This window comes from Homo sapiens, chromosome 16 (genome assembly GCF_000001405.40).
Source record: "Homo sapiens chromosome 16, GRCh38.p14 Primary Assembly".
NCBI classification, from domain to species: Eukaryota; Metazoa; Chordata; class Mammalia; order Primates; family Hominidae; genus Homo; species Homo sapiens.
In genome coordinates this window covers 75284726-75298049 of record NC_000016.10, presented here as the reverse complement: position 1 = coordinate 75298049, position 13324 = coordinate 75284726, and the positions used below count along the sequence as shown (strand labels likewise).

Here is a 13324-nt window from a genome sequence, read left to right as displayed (position 1 = left end):
TTGAACCATCAGAAAGCAAAGATATCAGGTGTGGAATTTTCCACTTGTGTCTTGTCAGTGCTTTAAAAGTTTCTGGTTTTGGAGGACTTCAGATTTCGGATTTTTGGATTTGGGATGCTCGCCTTGTACTGACATGTTCCCTAGTAGCATTTTCTACCCTTCTCTTGTCCTCTGCTTCCATTTCTCCCTCCCTTTTCATTGGCCTAGATCTCAGGGAAATTGGTGGCAGATAAATAATTTGGGTTGGAAGATTCAAAAGATGTCAGAGCCTGTTGTGCCTAACCTGGTTCTAAAAGGAAAAACTAGAAAATCCCTTAGGTTCTTAGCATATTTTATTAAAGAAAGTGAAGAGCCTCTTAAATGGGCCACAGAAGGCAATGGAAGCAGAAAGGGATGATGCATCCCCCACCACTAGGCTTCCCTGTGGACTGGGCTGAGTCATGCTGGGCCCCCAAAAGGGCTGCGCACAGGCCAGAAAAGCACCCGGACACATCAAGAGCAAGAGCCGTGATTCCCATTGCACTTGTCCTCAGGTGGGTCTGTTCTGGGACCGTGACCCATTTAAAGTGCATGAAAATGTCCTGAGTCTCAGTGGCCACCTTTGAGGAGGTGGCCTTTCTAATGAGCCCTTCCTCTTTCAGGGACATTTAGTCTCTTGGTCTCTGTTCCGGTTGCCCTGGGTTTTGAGGTTCTGTAGAGGTAAAGTCAAGTCAGAAGAAATGTGAAGCAAGACCGGGCAGAGTGGCTCACGCCTGTAATCCCAGCACTTCGGGAGGCTGAGGCGGGCAGATTACTTGAGGCCAGGAGTTCAAGACCAGCCTGACCAACATGGCAAAACCCCATCTCTACTAAAAACACACACACACACACACACACACACACAGACACACACACACACACACAAGAAATGGGAAGCAAGAACCCCAAGCCCATGACAACTCCCATAGCTATTTTTTGTTTTATTGTATACAAAGCACTTCTCACAGTTTCATTGGATTGCCAGAGGGTTATTGTAATTGTTATTCTGTTTTACAGAGAAGGAAAAAAAGGCACAGAAAATTAAGTATCTTGCCCAAAGTCACACAAAAACTAAATGTCAGAGCTACTGTCATTCTTAGTACCTTTTCTGTCTCTTGGCAGTGGGAGAGTCCATATCAAGTAGTTTTGTTCATGGTCAGCTCTTGGCAGTAAACCAAGGCCGTCACAGGCATCCTGTTAGCAGCTGCAGATGGCTGTGAATTGGGGAATAGTCACCAGACCTGCCTTGATGGCCTTTGTCTGGGTTGCCCTTGAGAATTCAGTTGCATCCTGCACATGTTCCCCTCACTGCTGCCTGAGGCCTCCCTAAACCTAAACTCTGACTGCACCTGCCTGTTTAGCACCCAACCTGGGCTTCACTCTTGATAGTCTCAAAGTCAGCTGGACCCAACACAGCTTCTGGGAACGTGCAGGACCTTTATTCGTACCCAGTTAGCATCCTCATTTAAGTGTCACTTCTTATTTACAGGAAAGTCAGGGCTGGGCCCGATGGCTCTCACCTGTAATCCTAGCACTTGGGAGGCCAAGGTGAGGATCGCTTGAGCCCAGGAGTTCGAGACCAGCATGGGCAACATGGAGAGACCCTATCTTTACAAAAGATTTAAAATTAGCCAGGTGTGGTGGTGTGTGCCTGTGGTCCCAGCTACCTGAGAGGCTGAAGCAGGAGGATTGTTTGAGCCTGAGAGGTCGAGGCTGCAGTGAACTGTGCACCACTGCACTCCAGCCTGAGCCACAAAGCAAGACCCTGTCTTAAAAAAATAAAGTCAGGAAGAAAGACCCCAAATGCTTAAAGCCACATACTTACTCCTTCCCTCCACCTGATCTCCCAGACAGGTAGCACTGGAAGATGGCTCTTGAAACACACCCTAAATTCCTCTTACACCCCCAGGTGAACAACAGCACAGCAAGATCTCATGCTGAGGCTCACCTCTCTTTTTTCTGCTAGCACTTCCAGGGGACAGTTAAAGTGCAGTGCTGTCAAAATCCTGGTCCCCGTGGTAGTGAGCCTCCCTTGGGCTGGTGGGGCTGGGGTGGAAAGATGACCAGTTGTAGTGAACGTGCCTCTGAGACCATTTTGGTTAGCAGCCCCCACTCAAGAATCACGGGTCTCTTAGTGGGAGGTGGGAAGTAAGTTTGTTGTTAGATGTCTACACTTCCCTACCTGTCTTCCCTTTTTCTCTTTTTATCTAAAGGGGTCCATGCTGTCTGCAGCTTCCCTGACTGCCAGGGACTCTGAAGTTCGAATTCAGCCAGGCAGCCTGTAATTTTATTTGTTAAATCTGACAATCCTGACCCCAAGGGCTTTTATCAAACCTAAGAGCAGGCCCTGTCATTGTGTTTCCAGCCATTCTGGCCTCATTGACGGTTTTGACACAGCAGCTTAGTACCTGAGCCAGACCAGGTGTTTTGGTTCCTCATTGCTGAAACCATAAGTCCAGACTTGGGCCATCTACTGTCCTTGGGAGCCTGTTGGAAGCTGGCTTCCTAAAACCATGATAACATTACCTGTCATTTTATTGAGTACCTGCTCTGTGCCCTGTGTGATGTAGACACTATTTTATTTAATCCACACAACAGTCCTTCAGAGTGGAGATGACTAGCCATTATTTATTATCTTTATTACAGATTAGGAAACAGAACTAGCAAGGTTAAGTGACTTGCAGAGTCACAGACAGCAAATGACAGAACTCAAACCTCCAGCCCTCTGGCCTCAGAGCCTGTACATTTCTGGCCAGCCCTCCAGAAGGGTCAGGGTAGTCAGGCCTAGCTGGAAATGAGGTAGGATGGATGGTACTTCCTAGGATGCTGTTGGAAGGGAAAGCAAGGCCCTGGACTCAGCAGGGGAACACAGGTTTCTGAACCTGGTAGCATTCTCACTATAAATGTAATGACTTTGTAATGACAGATGCATATTTTCCACAGTGCAACAAAAGAAAAATTAGTGCAGAGATTCAATTTTGTCTCCCATTTTCCATGGCAATTTTTGCTCTCTCCATAGATTAATTAGCAGCAGAGATCTCCTCCGCCCAGGCAAATCGCAGCACGCTTTATGGTGAGGAGGTGCATTAAGATGCAGCTGTGTCTCATTAAGCAGCCAGCCTCACTCCTAGCAAGCGCGCCTGTGCTTCAGCCCTTGCTGCTTTCCCGTCCTGCCTGGAGGACAGAGGGAAAGTTTGCTGAACCCAACCAGATTAGGGAGCAGAGTGTCCACCTTTCAAGGGGATCCTTGAAAGGAGAGATCAGAGGCCCTTAAACTCATTCTCTTAGAGGCATTTAGGGAAAGAGTTCTCCTGTCATCTTAGCAGAAGCAACCTAGACGCAAACAGGGTGGAGGATACTGCGGAGAGGAGAAAAGGATGAGGGGAAGAAAAGAGCTCAAAGCAGTTAAATCACTTCTAAAGTGTGCACTTTATGAACCTCAGCTCACTTCACCTTCACTGCAGTCCTGTGAGGTCATTTTTACTGTCTTCTTTCCTTCATTACCACATGCCCCCTTTTCATGTTTTGATGTATGTATGCAGGAGGCCTAGCTTTCTCTTACCCACCAATTCAACACACCACTAAAGCCAAGAAAAACAGCATCACCATGCTGCTGTAGAGAAAAGTGAGGCTCAAAGATGTTCATTCCTTTGCCCAGCTAATCAGTGAGCTAGAGCTAGGACTTGAACCCATGCTTGTGTAAACCGGTATTCTTTCTTCTGCCCTTAAAGTCTTGTTAGAAAATTGCAACATCTTCCTGCCACCCAGCCTCTAATATACTTTCTCATTGATAAGCTGTTGCCTTCCTTTTATTTTCACCATCCTTGTTTAGACCAAATGTGAGTGGTTTGGATTGTACTGGAAGAGTCATGGGTGGTCACTCTCGGCACCATTTACTGTAACTTAGTTTATCCCTGGGGGATGGGACTGTGCAGGGGAGGAGTTTTTCCTACTGGATTCTACTGACAAACACTGTTTTCATCTTCTAGGTACATTGAACGGAAAGCCTTCCTTGACCGAGTGGATCACAGGCAGTTTGAAATTGAGCGAGATCTCAGGCTGAGCAAAATGAAACCTTGATGTTACGGGCTAAATCAAGAGCAGCTTAATCCTGTTTACAATGTGAGCTTTTTGTGCGTCTGTGAAATGTTTTACAGTGTTTCTCATCATCTGTTTCCCAGCAAGGTCTTTTTTTTTTCTACATTGAAGTTCTGTCTATGTATCTTAATCACAAATGGTTTCATTCACTTTACTTTTAAAAATTTGTCCTTAAATGAATAAATAAAATAAAAGTTGGTCCTGTGAGAGGATAATGAAGATGACGACCTCGCTCACCTTCCCTTTATTCTGCCGCAAAGTCCCACCCAGTTCAAGACAGCACATTCCAGGTCTGTCCAGGCTGGCAGAGGTCTTGCCAGGCATGGTGAAGATAGCTGACCAACCTGGGTGTGAATTTTCCGGGGCCAAGAGGCTCTTTCTGCAGCCAGCCTTGCCCCGAAGACCTAGAGGAGGCGGCTCACTAGAGTGACTGGAATGCCAGGCCCCTTCGCAGCTTGTTCTCATTTCCACTCGGGCTTCTCTTCTGATCTCTCTTTCTCCTGAATGGATTCCTACTGATGGCATGTAAGGCTGAAAATAAGGATATATTATTGCTGAATTAGCTGTTTTTTCCCTTCAGCCTTTTTCCTCTTCCCAAAGAAAAGTTAAATTCAGATATGCTCCCACTTCAATAATTCATTAATTTTTAGTTTGTCAAAGAATATTCTGAAGGATTTTCTTTTTTATACTCATAAGAAAATGTAAATTTCAAACTTCCTGCTTAGAGTCAGACATTCTTTGCAGAACAGCAGGGAGGAGAGTAAGAGAGTAACATCTTCAGTGAAGAGGGAAAGAGGGATAGAGACCATTCATATTAATAAGCGGGAAACCCCACAACCTGCTTCTGGTGTGTGTGCCTGCATGTGCATGTGTGTTACCCGAGTACCATGACAGGTTTGGGTGATGACAGGTTACCTAAGACTGCATTCCATTTCTTGCTGTACCAGCTTTGTGGCCCTGACCACAGGTCATTTTTCTGTGCCTCCATTTTCTGGTCTGCAAATGGCATGAATAACACTAGTACCTCCAAGGGGTGGAGTAAGCTAATGACACACCCGTCGGGTGTGAGTACTAGTTTATGGCAGGTCTCCCAATCTAGGCCTCTAATGTGGTGGGAATTCATAGCAACAAAGACCCAACTGTCAACACTAGATGGTTATGGGCTATGGATCTTATTACTCAGAAAGGTAGTTTACAAGCTAAATTTGAACACAATGTCTATTCACATCCCCTCTGATAAATAATTCTAAGTGATTGTAGAGCATTTCAGGCCAGCGTCACAACAGGCGGCCTGCGAGGTCTTAGTTATGGTCCCAAATGGGACATAATAACTGAGGAAGGTGGGCCAGGTGGCTCATGCCTGTAATCCCAGCACTTTGGGAGGCCGAGGCAGGTGGATTGCTTGAGCTCAGGAGTTCACGATCAGCCTGGGCAACATGATGAAACCCTGTCTTCACCAAAAATACAAAAAGAAATTAGCCAGGCATGGTGGTGCATGCCTGTAGTCCCAGCTACTCAGGAGACTAAGGTGGGAGGATCACTTAAGCCCTGGAAGTTGAGGCTGCACTTAGCCAAGATCGTGCCATTTCACTCCGGCCTGGGCAAAAGGAGTGAGACCCTGTCTGAAAAACAAAAAAAGAATAACCTAAGAGCTGCCAATATTTTGATTAGAGGACATCCAGACCTTCAGGAGGTAGCAGCCAAGATTTGATGTGAATGTCCTCCCACATGGTACTCTCTGGCTCATCATCCGTCATTCACCACCATTTGGCAACTGTTTCCCTAACTCTTCTCTGGAGTTCTGAGTCCCTCTTCCATTGCGCTTCACAAAGTTCTTCATCTCAGCAGCCAGTGTCTCAGCAACACGTGAGCTGGCTCTCTCCCTATTTGAAAAATGATCTGAAATCCAATAGAATGAATGGTGCTGAGTTCATAGTAAGTTAGGGTTTTTCTTTTTAGCAAATGTTAACACCTGTGAAGCCTAAGGGATTAAGACAAAAGCTGCAAAGCCTGCTGGGTTCTTCTCACAGGTGGGTTTGCTATTCCTGTTTTGCTCCAAGCCATGAAAGGAGAAGTCAGATGTGTCAGTGAAAGTCGTAACTGTGTGCTTGGGCCCTGCCTTTCTTGTTCAGGATCCAGCCCCCCGCCACAGGTTTTCTCCATCTGTACCTGTGTTAAGTTAATGTCATGATTCTGGAGAAAGGTCGGTTCCTTTCTGCTGTCTGTTGATTGGTGCCCCTTTTCCCAGCAGGGTTGCTGCCCACATCTGACCTCCACACAATCACCCATTACCTCTCCATGAGTCTTTTAGAAAGCCCCTCTAGTCTAGTCTTTTTTGACAGATTCTGGCTGCCTGTCAGGGAATACATGGCTATTTGCATCGATCCTATTACAGGTGCCCTGTTTCCCAATTTGTAGATCCGTGCTTCGGAGTCTCACACTTTCCCACTTTAAACTGTGCTGGTTGCCTTGACTTTAGCTGTCACTCTCTTGGTCTACATGGAACCTCTTTAAAAGCCTCCTGTACTGACCTCACTTCATCTCACTGATAAACCACTTACTCTGACTGATACATGTGCATCTGTATGTATGTATTATGTATACCTGTGTCATCTTACAATGAGGGTTCATATCAGACTTTCATTTATGTCTCACTGGCCATAGCTGGGTCATTGAACTGCCTCTAGCTGTAGGGAAGGCTGGAAAAGTGAGTGTCATGGAAAACAGGCAAGGCAGGGTGGGGAGGTGAGCCCTGGGGGACTGCCCACACTCTCCTAGAACAGCCTGAGCACATCAAAGTCCTTCCTTAGAGCCTCTGACAATTTTTTTTTTTTTTTGAGATGGAGTCTCACTTTGTTGCCCTGGCTGGAGTGCAGTGGTGCAACCTTGGCTCACTGCAGCCTCCACCTCTTGGATTCAAGTGATTTTCCTGCCTCAGCCTCCCAAGTTGCTGGGATTACAGGCGTGTAATCCTGGCTGGATTACACAACCACGTCTGGCTAATTTTTGTATTTTTAGTAGAGATGGGGTTTCACCATGTTGGTCAGGCTAGTCTCAAACTCCTGACCTCAGGTGAACCACCCACCTTGGCCTTCCAAAGTGTTGGGATTACAATGGCCATGAGTGTGGTAGAGGGGACCCTGGTACAGGAAGGAGGTCCTCTCTACCTCCTAAGATCCTGTGCCTGTTTTTCTTTTCTTTCTTTCTTCTTTTTTTTTTTTTTTTGAGACAGGGTCTTGCTCTGTTGCCCAATTAGTGCAGTGGCATGATCATGGTTCACTGTAGCCTCAACCTCTTGGGCTCAAGAGATCCTTTCATCTCAGCCTCCCAAGCAGCTAGGACCACAGGTATACACCACTGCACCCAGCTAACTTTGTAATTTTTTGTAGAGATGGGCATTCACTGTGTTGCCCAGGCTGGTCTTAACTATGCCTGTTTTAACAACTTGGAAACCAAGCTTTGCAGATTCTGACACCTCATCTTCCCAGACTCTGAAGGGCCTCCTCTGGCCCTTTGTTTTTACTCCTTACTGTTGTGGATCAAGTTCAAGGGACAGGAGAACTGGCCAGCAAGAGAGGGTCCTTAGGCATTAGCAGTGGGTATCTACAAATGGGTGGCTGTTTCTTGTAGGTGTAAGCCAGGCCCCAGGAGGCAGGAGTCTTCTCAAGCCCTGCCTGACCATCCCCATGGGCTGGGTGCTGTGGCTGCAGAATGGAGCAGGCCTTTGGCACCAGCCAGTGACCCAGGCAGAGGACCAAGCAGGTGGGTGTCCATGGGGGTGCCTAAGACGGGGATGGACCACTCTTGGGTATTCCTCTCGGTCATCTGTGCTGCCTGAGCCCATCTGTGCCCTCAGTGGGACCTACCTTCTCAGCCAGCATTGCTACCTGTCCCATCCTCTTCCTACCTCATGCTCAGAGGACTGAGCCTCCTCAGCAAATGCCTAGCCTTTCTCAGTGGACCCACCGAGACCAGGCTGGTGGGTGGGACTAATTAAAGTGTGTTTGCCCTCAATCAAGAATCACCTTTTCGGCCAGGCACAGTGGCTCACGCCTGTAATCCCAGTACTTTGAGAGGCTGAGGCAGGCAGATCGCTTGAGGCCAGGAGTTTGAGACCAGCCTGGGCAACATACAGCGAGACCCTATCTCTGCAAAAAATTTAAAAATTAGCTGGACATAGTGGTGCATGGCTGTGATCCCAGCTACTTGGGAGACTGAGGTGGGAGGATCACTTGAGCCCAGGGAGTCAAGGTTGCAGTAAGCTGTGATTGCACCCTTGCTCTCCAGCCTGGGCGACAGAGCAAGACCCTGTCTCAAAAACAAACAAACAAAAAAATCACCTTTTTTAAAATTACAAGTCTGATTTGAACCATGACAGACACTATCCTGCCCACAATTTTTAAGAACAAGTGACTAATATTTTATCTAGCTCTCACATCCACATTTAGTGAAAACTCATCTAACTCCCAAAGGAAGTGATGTCCCTTTATCCAGGAGTTGGAAATTGTCAAGGAAACTGTTTGCAGGAAGTGGGAAGTGGAAAGAGTGAGTCAGTGCTAAGAGGTGTTTGGCAGCCTTCTGCAGGGCATAGTGCTTGTCCCCTGCTGTGGTGTGAATGGCTGACAAGGACAGTCCAAGGACACCTTCTTAGCTGGTCCTGTGGAGTCCAGAGACTCCCCTGGAGTTGACTTTCCTGGCCTTGCTCTTGTCCTCTCCAAGTCCCAAATGGGTGTGTCAGATTTCCAGGGCATCTGGTACCTTCTCATTACTGAAAAAAACTGCCCTAAAACAGGATAATGTCAAAAGTAAAATAAGCCTCTTGATGTGCTCTGCTCACCTATTTCCTGAGGAATGCAGTGCTCTAATTAGGAAGTCTGCATAAGGTCTCTAGGGGCAAAACGGGACACATTAAGAAGGAAATCCTGAGTGAGCTGTACACTGTCAGCATCCATATGGAGGTACTGGACTAAGGCCTGACAGACACTTAGCTGGCACCTGACTTCAGAACTGGGCAGTGCAGGTTAGCTGAGTGGCTGGCACCGCGAAGGCCAGGAGACGTCCTGGGCAGGAGTGGAGTGATGGTGCTTCTGGCACCCTGGCAGGGACCAGGAAGGCCGGTGACAGGCTCTCCAGGTGCCATGCTGCCTCGTGGCAGCAGAACAGAGGCGATGTGGTTGGTGTGGTGAGATGGGAGTATGTGGTGTGGCGTAGTTAACATGGTGTGGTGTGATGTGGTCTGCGGTCTGACACGGGGTGGTAGAAAGGGCTAGAACAGGCTCTCAAGATCAGTCTTCTGCTTTTTGGTATCAGTCCTTAGCCAGATCTGGAATTGCTCAGGCATGTTGGGTGAGACTTAGGACTTTTTTAATTACCAAAAAGTACAGGTGAACAAACAGGAATTGGGCTGAGAATGGTGGGTTCCTGGGAAGGATCAGAAGCTTTTAGCTTCATCAGCGAACGATCGGTTGGTCCTGCATGCCAGATGCTTCCTGACATGCTATCTTGTTAGATCCTCTGCCCTTTCAGAGGAGGAAACTTGCCTGAGGTCATCTGGTAACACAGCCAGGGCCGCACCCACATGGCATGGCTGGAGGGCAGGATGTAGGAGGCAGCAAGATTGAACAGCCTCTCATCACCCCCTGGATCCCAGCGCCATGTTGGGAAGGAAAGACCCGAGGGCAAGGAGACAGAAAAACCAAAGGTTGAGAAGGTTCTTGCAGATGAAGAGCTGCCTTCTGGTACCGAATTTTTGTGTCAAGAGTTCACTGAGATGTGGGCACCCTGGCCTCAGCTCTGGTACCGCCCAGTCTAGGGCAGCTTCTGACCCACTCTTTGCAGGGGAGAGGGGGTACTGCTGAGAAGTCCTTACCTAGGACTTAAGCCCTGCTTCAGACAGGCCTGGTGGCCGGGTGTCACCCATGTCTAAGCTCTGCTCCATGGTCACGTTTCTGTGCTGAGCATTTCTGAGTGGAGGGTGTTGCCCTCTTTGAGACACTGCCTGGGGTTAGGGAGTGAAGGGAGGAGGTGCCCAGATGACTGCAGCCACTTGGTGTGTGGGAGGTTCAGCAACTCAGGGACATTGAGTGCCACTCCCCTGCCCCGCCTTCTCTGGGCTGGAGATTCCCATCTTGGCCTCTTCTGCTTCTTCTTTTTTTGAGACAGGGTCTCGCTCTGTCGCCCAGGCTGGAATACAGTGGGGTGATCTCAGCTCACTGCAGCCTCAGCCTCCCTGGGCTTAAGCAGTCCCCCCACCTCAGCCTCTTGAGTGCTGGGACTACAGGCATGCACCACCACGCCTGGCTAAGTTTTATATTTTTGGTAGAGACGGGGCTTCACCATGTTGCTCAGGCTGGTCTCCAACTCCTGAGCTCAAGCAGTCGTTGTGAGCCAGCCTGCTAAGTCTTTTTTACTATTGCTTTTATTTATGCCCTCCTAGAGCAACTTAAGTCCAAAAATACTACCAGATGCAATCTTTGTGCACAGGCAAGTTGACTCCAGCAAGGAAACTGGGATGGAGAAGTCCAGCAGGGTCGCACGACAGAGCCCCTCCTTGGGGCCTCTCTCCCTCCTATGCAGCCAGCTTTTGTTGTTTGTGGTCTCAGAAAGCTGGTGAGTAGGCTGAGTCTGTGTTCATATAAGGTGCAAGGTGGCTGTGCTAGGGAGGAGGAGGGAGAGAAACTAACATAAGGAGAGCGCTGTCGGGTCAGACACATGGCTTGACATCCTCCTTCTAACCCCTCCTATCTCTGGGATCCGGCTAAATCCCTCAACCCCTGCGTCTCGGATTCCTCACCTTTGAAAGGTTGCTCAGGATGGTGAATAATCCTGCTCTGCCTACCTCACAACACTTTATTAAGTGAAATACACCATCCGTGTTGCTACAATTAAATTGTGCCCCTGGCTTCCCCTTCCCCAAGAGAGCCAAACTTACGGGAGTATAAATTAGTGCCACTTTACAGAGCACTTTGGCAATGTCTAATAAATCTGGAGCTATACCTGGCCCCGGATGCAGCAGCTGTACTCCCGAGATACATCTTGGAGAAGCACCAGCACGTGCACAAAGAGACAGGAGTACAGGTTAAGTACCCCTCATCTGGTGCTCACTTTGGCAGCACATATACTAAAAAAAAAAAAAAAAAAAAAAATAGAATGATGCAGAGAAGATTAGCATGGCCTCTGCACAAGGATGTGATGTGGTTTGGCTGCATCCCCAATCAAATCTCATCTTGAATTGTACTCCCTTAATTCCCACGTGTATGGGAGGGACCTGGTGGGAGATATTTGAATCATGGTGGCGGTTTCCCCCATACTGTTCTCATGGTAGTGAATAAGTCTCACGAGATCTGGTGGATTTATCAGGGGTTTCCGCTTTTGCATCTTCCTCATTTTCTCTTGGCTCCACCATGTAAGAAGTGCCTTTTGCCTACTGCCATGATTCTCAGGGCTCCCCAGCCATGTGGAACTGTTAAGTCCAGTTAAACCCTTTTTTCTTCCCAGTCTCGGGTGTGTCTTTATCAGCAGCGTGAAAATGGACTAATAAAGGATGACATGCAAATTCGTGAAGCATTCTATTTAAAAAAAGAAAAGAAAAAGTATCCCTTATCTGAAATGCTTTGGACAAGAAGTGTTTCAGATTTCAGATTTCTTTGGATTTTGGAATATTTGCATTAGACTGATCCAGCATCCCAAATCCAAAAATCTGAAATCCAACATGCTCCAATTAGCATTTCCTTTTAGCATCAGGTCGGCACTCAAAAAGTTTCATATTTTGGAGCATTTTGGATTTGAAAGCTTAACCCGTATTGGTAATTATTAAAAACTTGGAAACCACTGTAGAGGAGGAAAAATTTATCTTCTACTCTCTTTATTTTTTTATTTTTTTACATGTACATGGGAGTCCTCACAAGAAACATGAAGACCCAAAGAAACAAGAGTTGAAAGCTTATATACTGAGTTGGGCAAAGAGTAGTAAGTGTGACAAGGTGAAAGGGCCTGAGCTAGGGGAGTTACATTGGTTGGAAAAGTGGAAAGATGCGGGTTTGTTAACAAGGTTCACACAGATTTCTCTCAGAATTAACTTCCCCTCCTTGGTGATAAGAGTGTCTCTTTCCTTCTAGTATAAGAAGGGTATATTGGGCCAGGAGCTGTGGCTCACACCTTTAATCCCAGCACTTTGGGAGGCCAAGGCAGGCGGATCACAAGGTCAGGAGATCGAGACCATCCTGGCTAACAGGGTGAAACCCTGTCTCTACTAAAAATACAAAAAAATTAGCCGGGCATGGTAGCAGTCGCCTGTAGTCCCAGCCACTCGGGGGACTGAGGCAGGAGAATGGTGTGAACCCGGGAGGCGGAGCTTGCAGTGAGCTGAGATTGCGCCACTGCACTCCAGCCTGGGCAACAGAGCGAGACTCCATCTCAAAAAAAAAAAAAAAGGATACATTGGCTAGGCATGGTGGCACATGCCTATAATCCCAGCACTTTGGGAGGCTGAGGCAGGCAGATCACCTGAGGTCAGGCGTTTGAGACCAGCCTGGCTAACATCATGAAGCCCCCATATTTACCAAATATACAAAAATTAGCTGGGCGTGGTGGCACACGCCTGTAATCCCAGCTACTTGGGAGGCTGAGGCAGGAGAATCACTTGAACCCAGGAGGCAGAGGTTGCAGTGAGTTGAGATTGTGCCACTGCACTCCAGCCTGGGTGATAGAGCAAGACTCCATATCAAAAAAAATCAAGGATACATTTCACATGACAATTTCATCTGTTTTTAAAGAAAAAGGACAGAGTGTCCTTCTTACACCTGTTTTTCAGGTGCCTTTTTTTAGAGACAGGTTCTTACTCTGTCTCCTAGGCTTGAGTGCAGTGGTGCAATCATAGGTCACTGCAGCCTCAACTTCCTATGCTCAACTGATCTTCACATTCAGCCTCCTGAGCACATATCACCAAGCCCAGATAATTTTTTTGTTCTTTTTAATGACAGGGTCTCACCATGTTGGCCAGGCTCGTCTCAAACTCAAGCAATTCTCCCACCTCGGCCCCCCAAAGTGCTGGGACTACAGGCATGAGCCACCTCACCAGGCCACAGGTGCCTTTAACTCAAAATAGTCAATAGGCCAGAGTGGCATATTTTGAGTGGCATGTTCTGAACACCTTCACAGCCCAGTGATCGCCAGGAGAATGCGTCAATTGTAAAGTAGTCACACAATG

At 47.6% G+C, this 13324-nt stretch overlaps 1 protein-coding gene and 1 pseudogene across 1 annotated transcript in view; both read left to right on the top strand.

Moving 5' to 3' along the window:
- Window positions 1-4340, top strand: part of CFDP1 (craniofacial development protein 1) — a 139794-nt gene extending 135454 nt beyond the window's left edge. Inside the window, exon 7 of the mRNA NM_006324.3 lies at window positions 4008-4340. Within this exon, the coding sequence (NP_006315.1) occupies window positions 4008-4098 (91 nt within the window). The 3' untranslated portion in view covers window positions 4099-4340. The remainder of the gene's footprint in view (window positions 1-4007) is intronic.
- Window positions 11250-11338, top strand: RNU6-758P (RNA, U6 small nuclear 758, pseudogene; annotated as a pseudogene).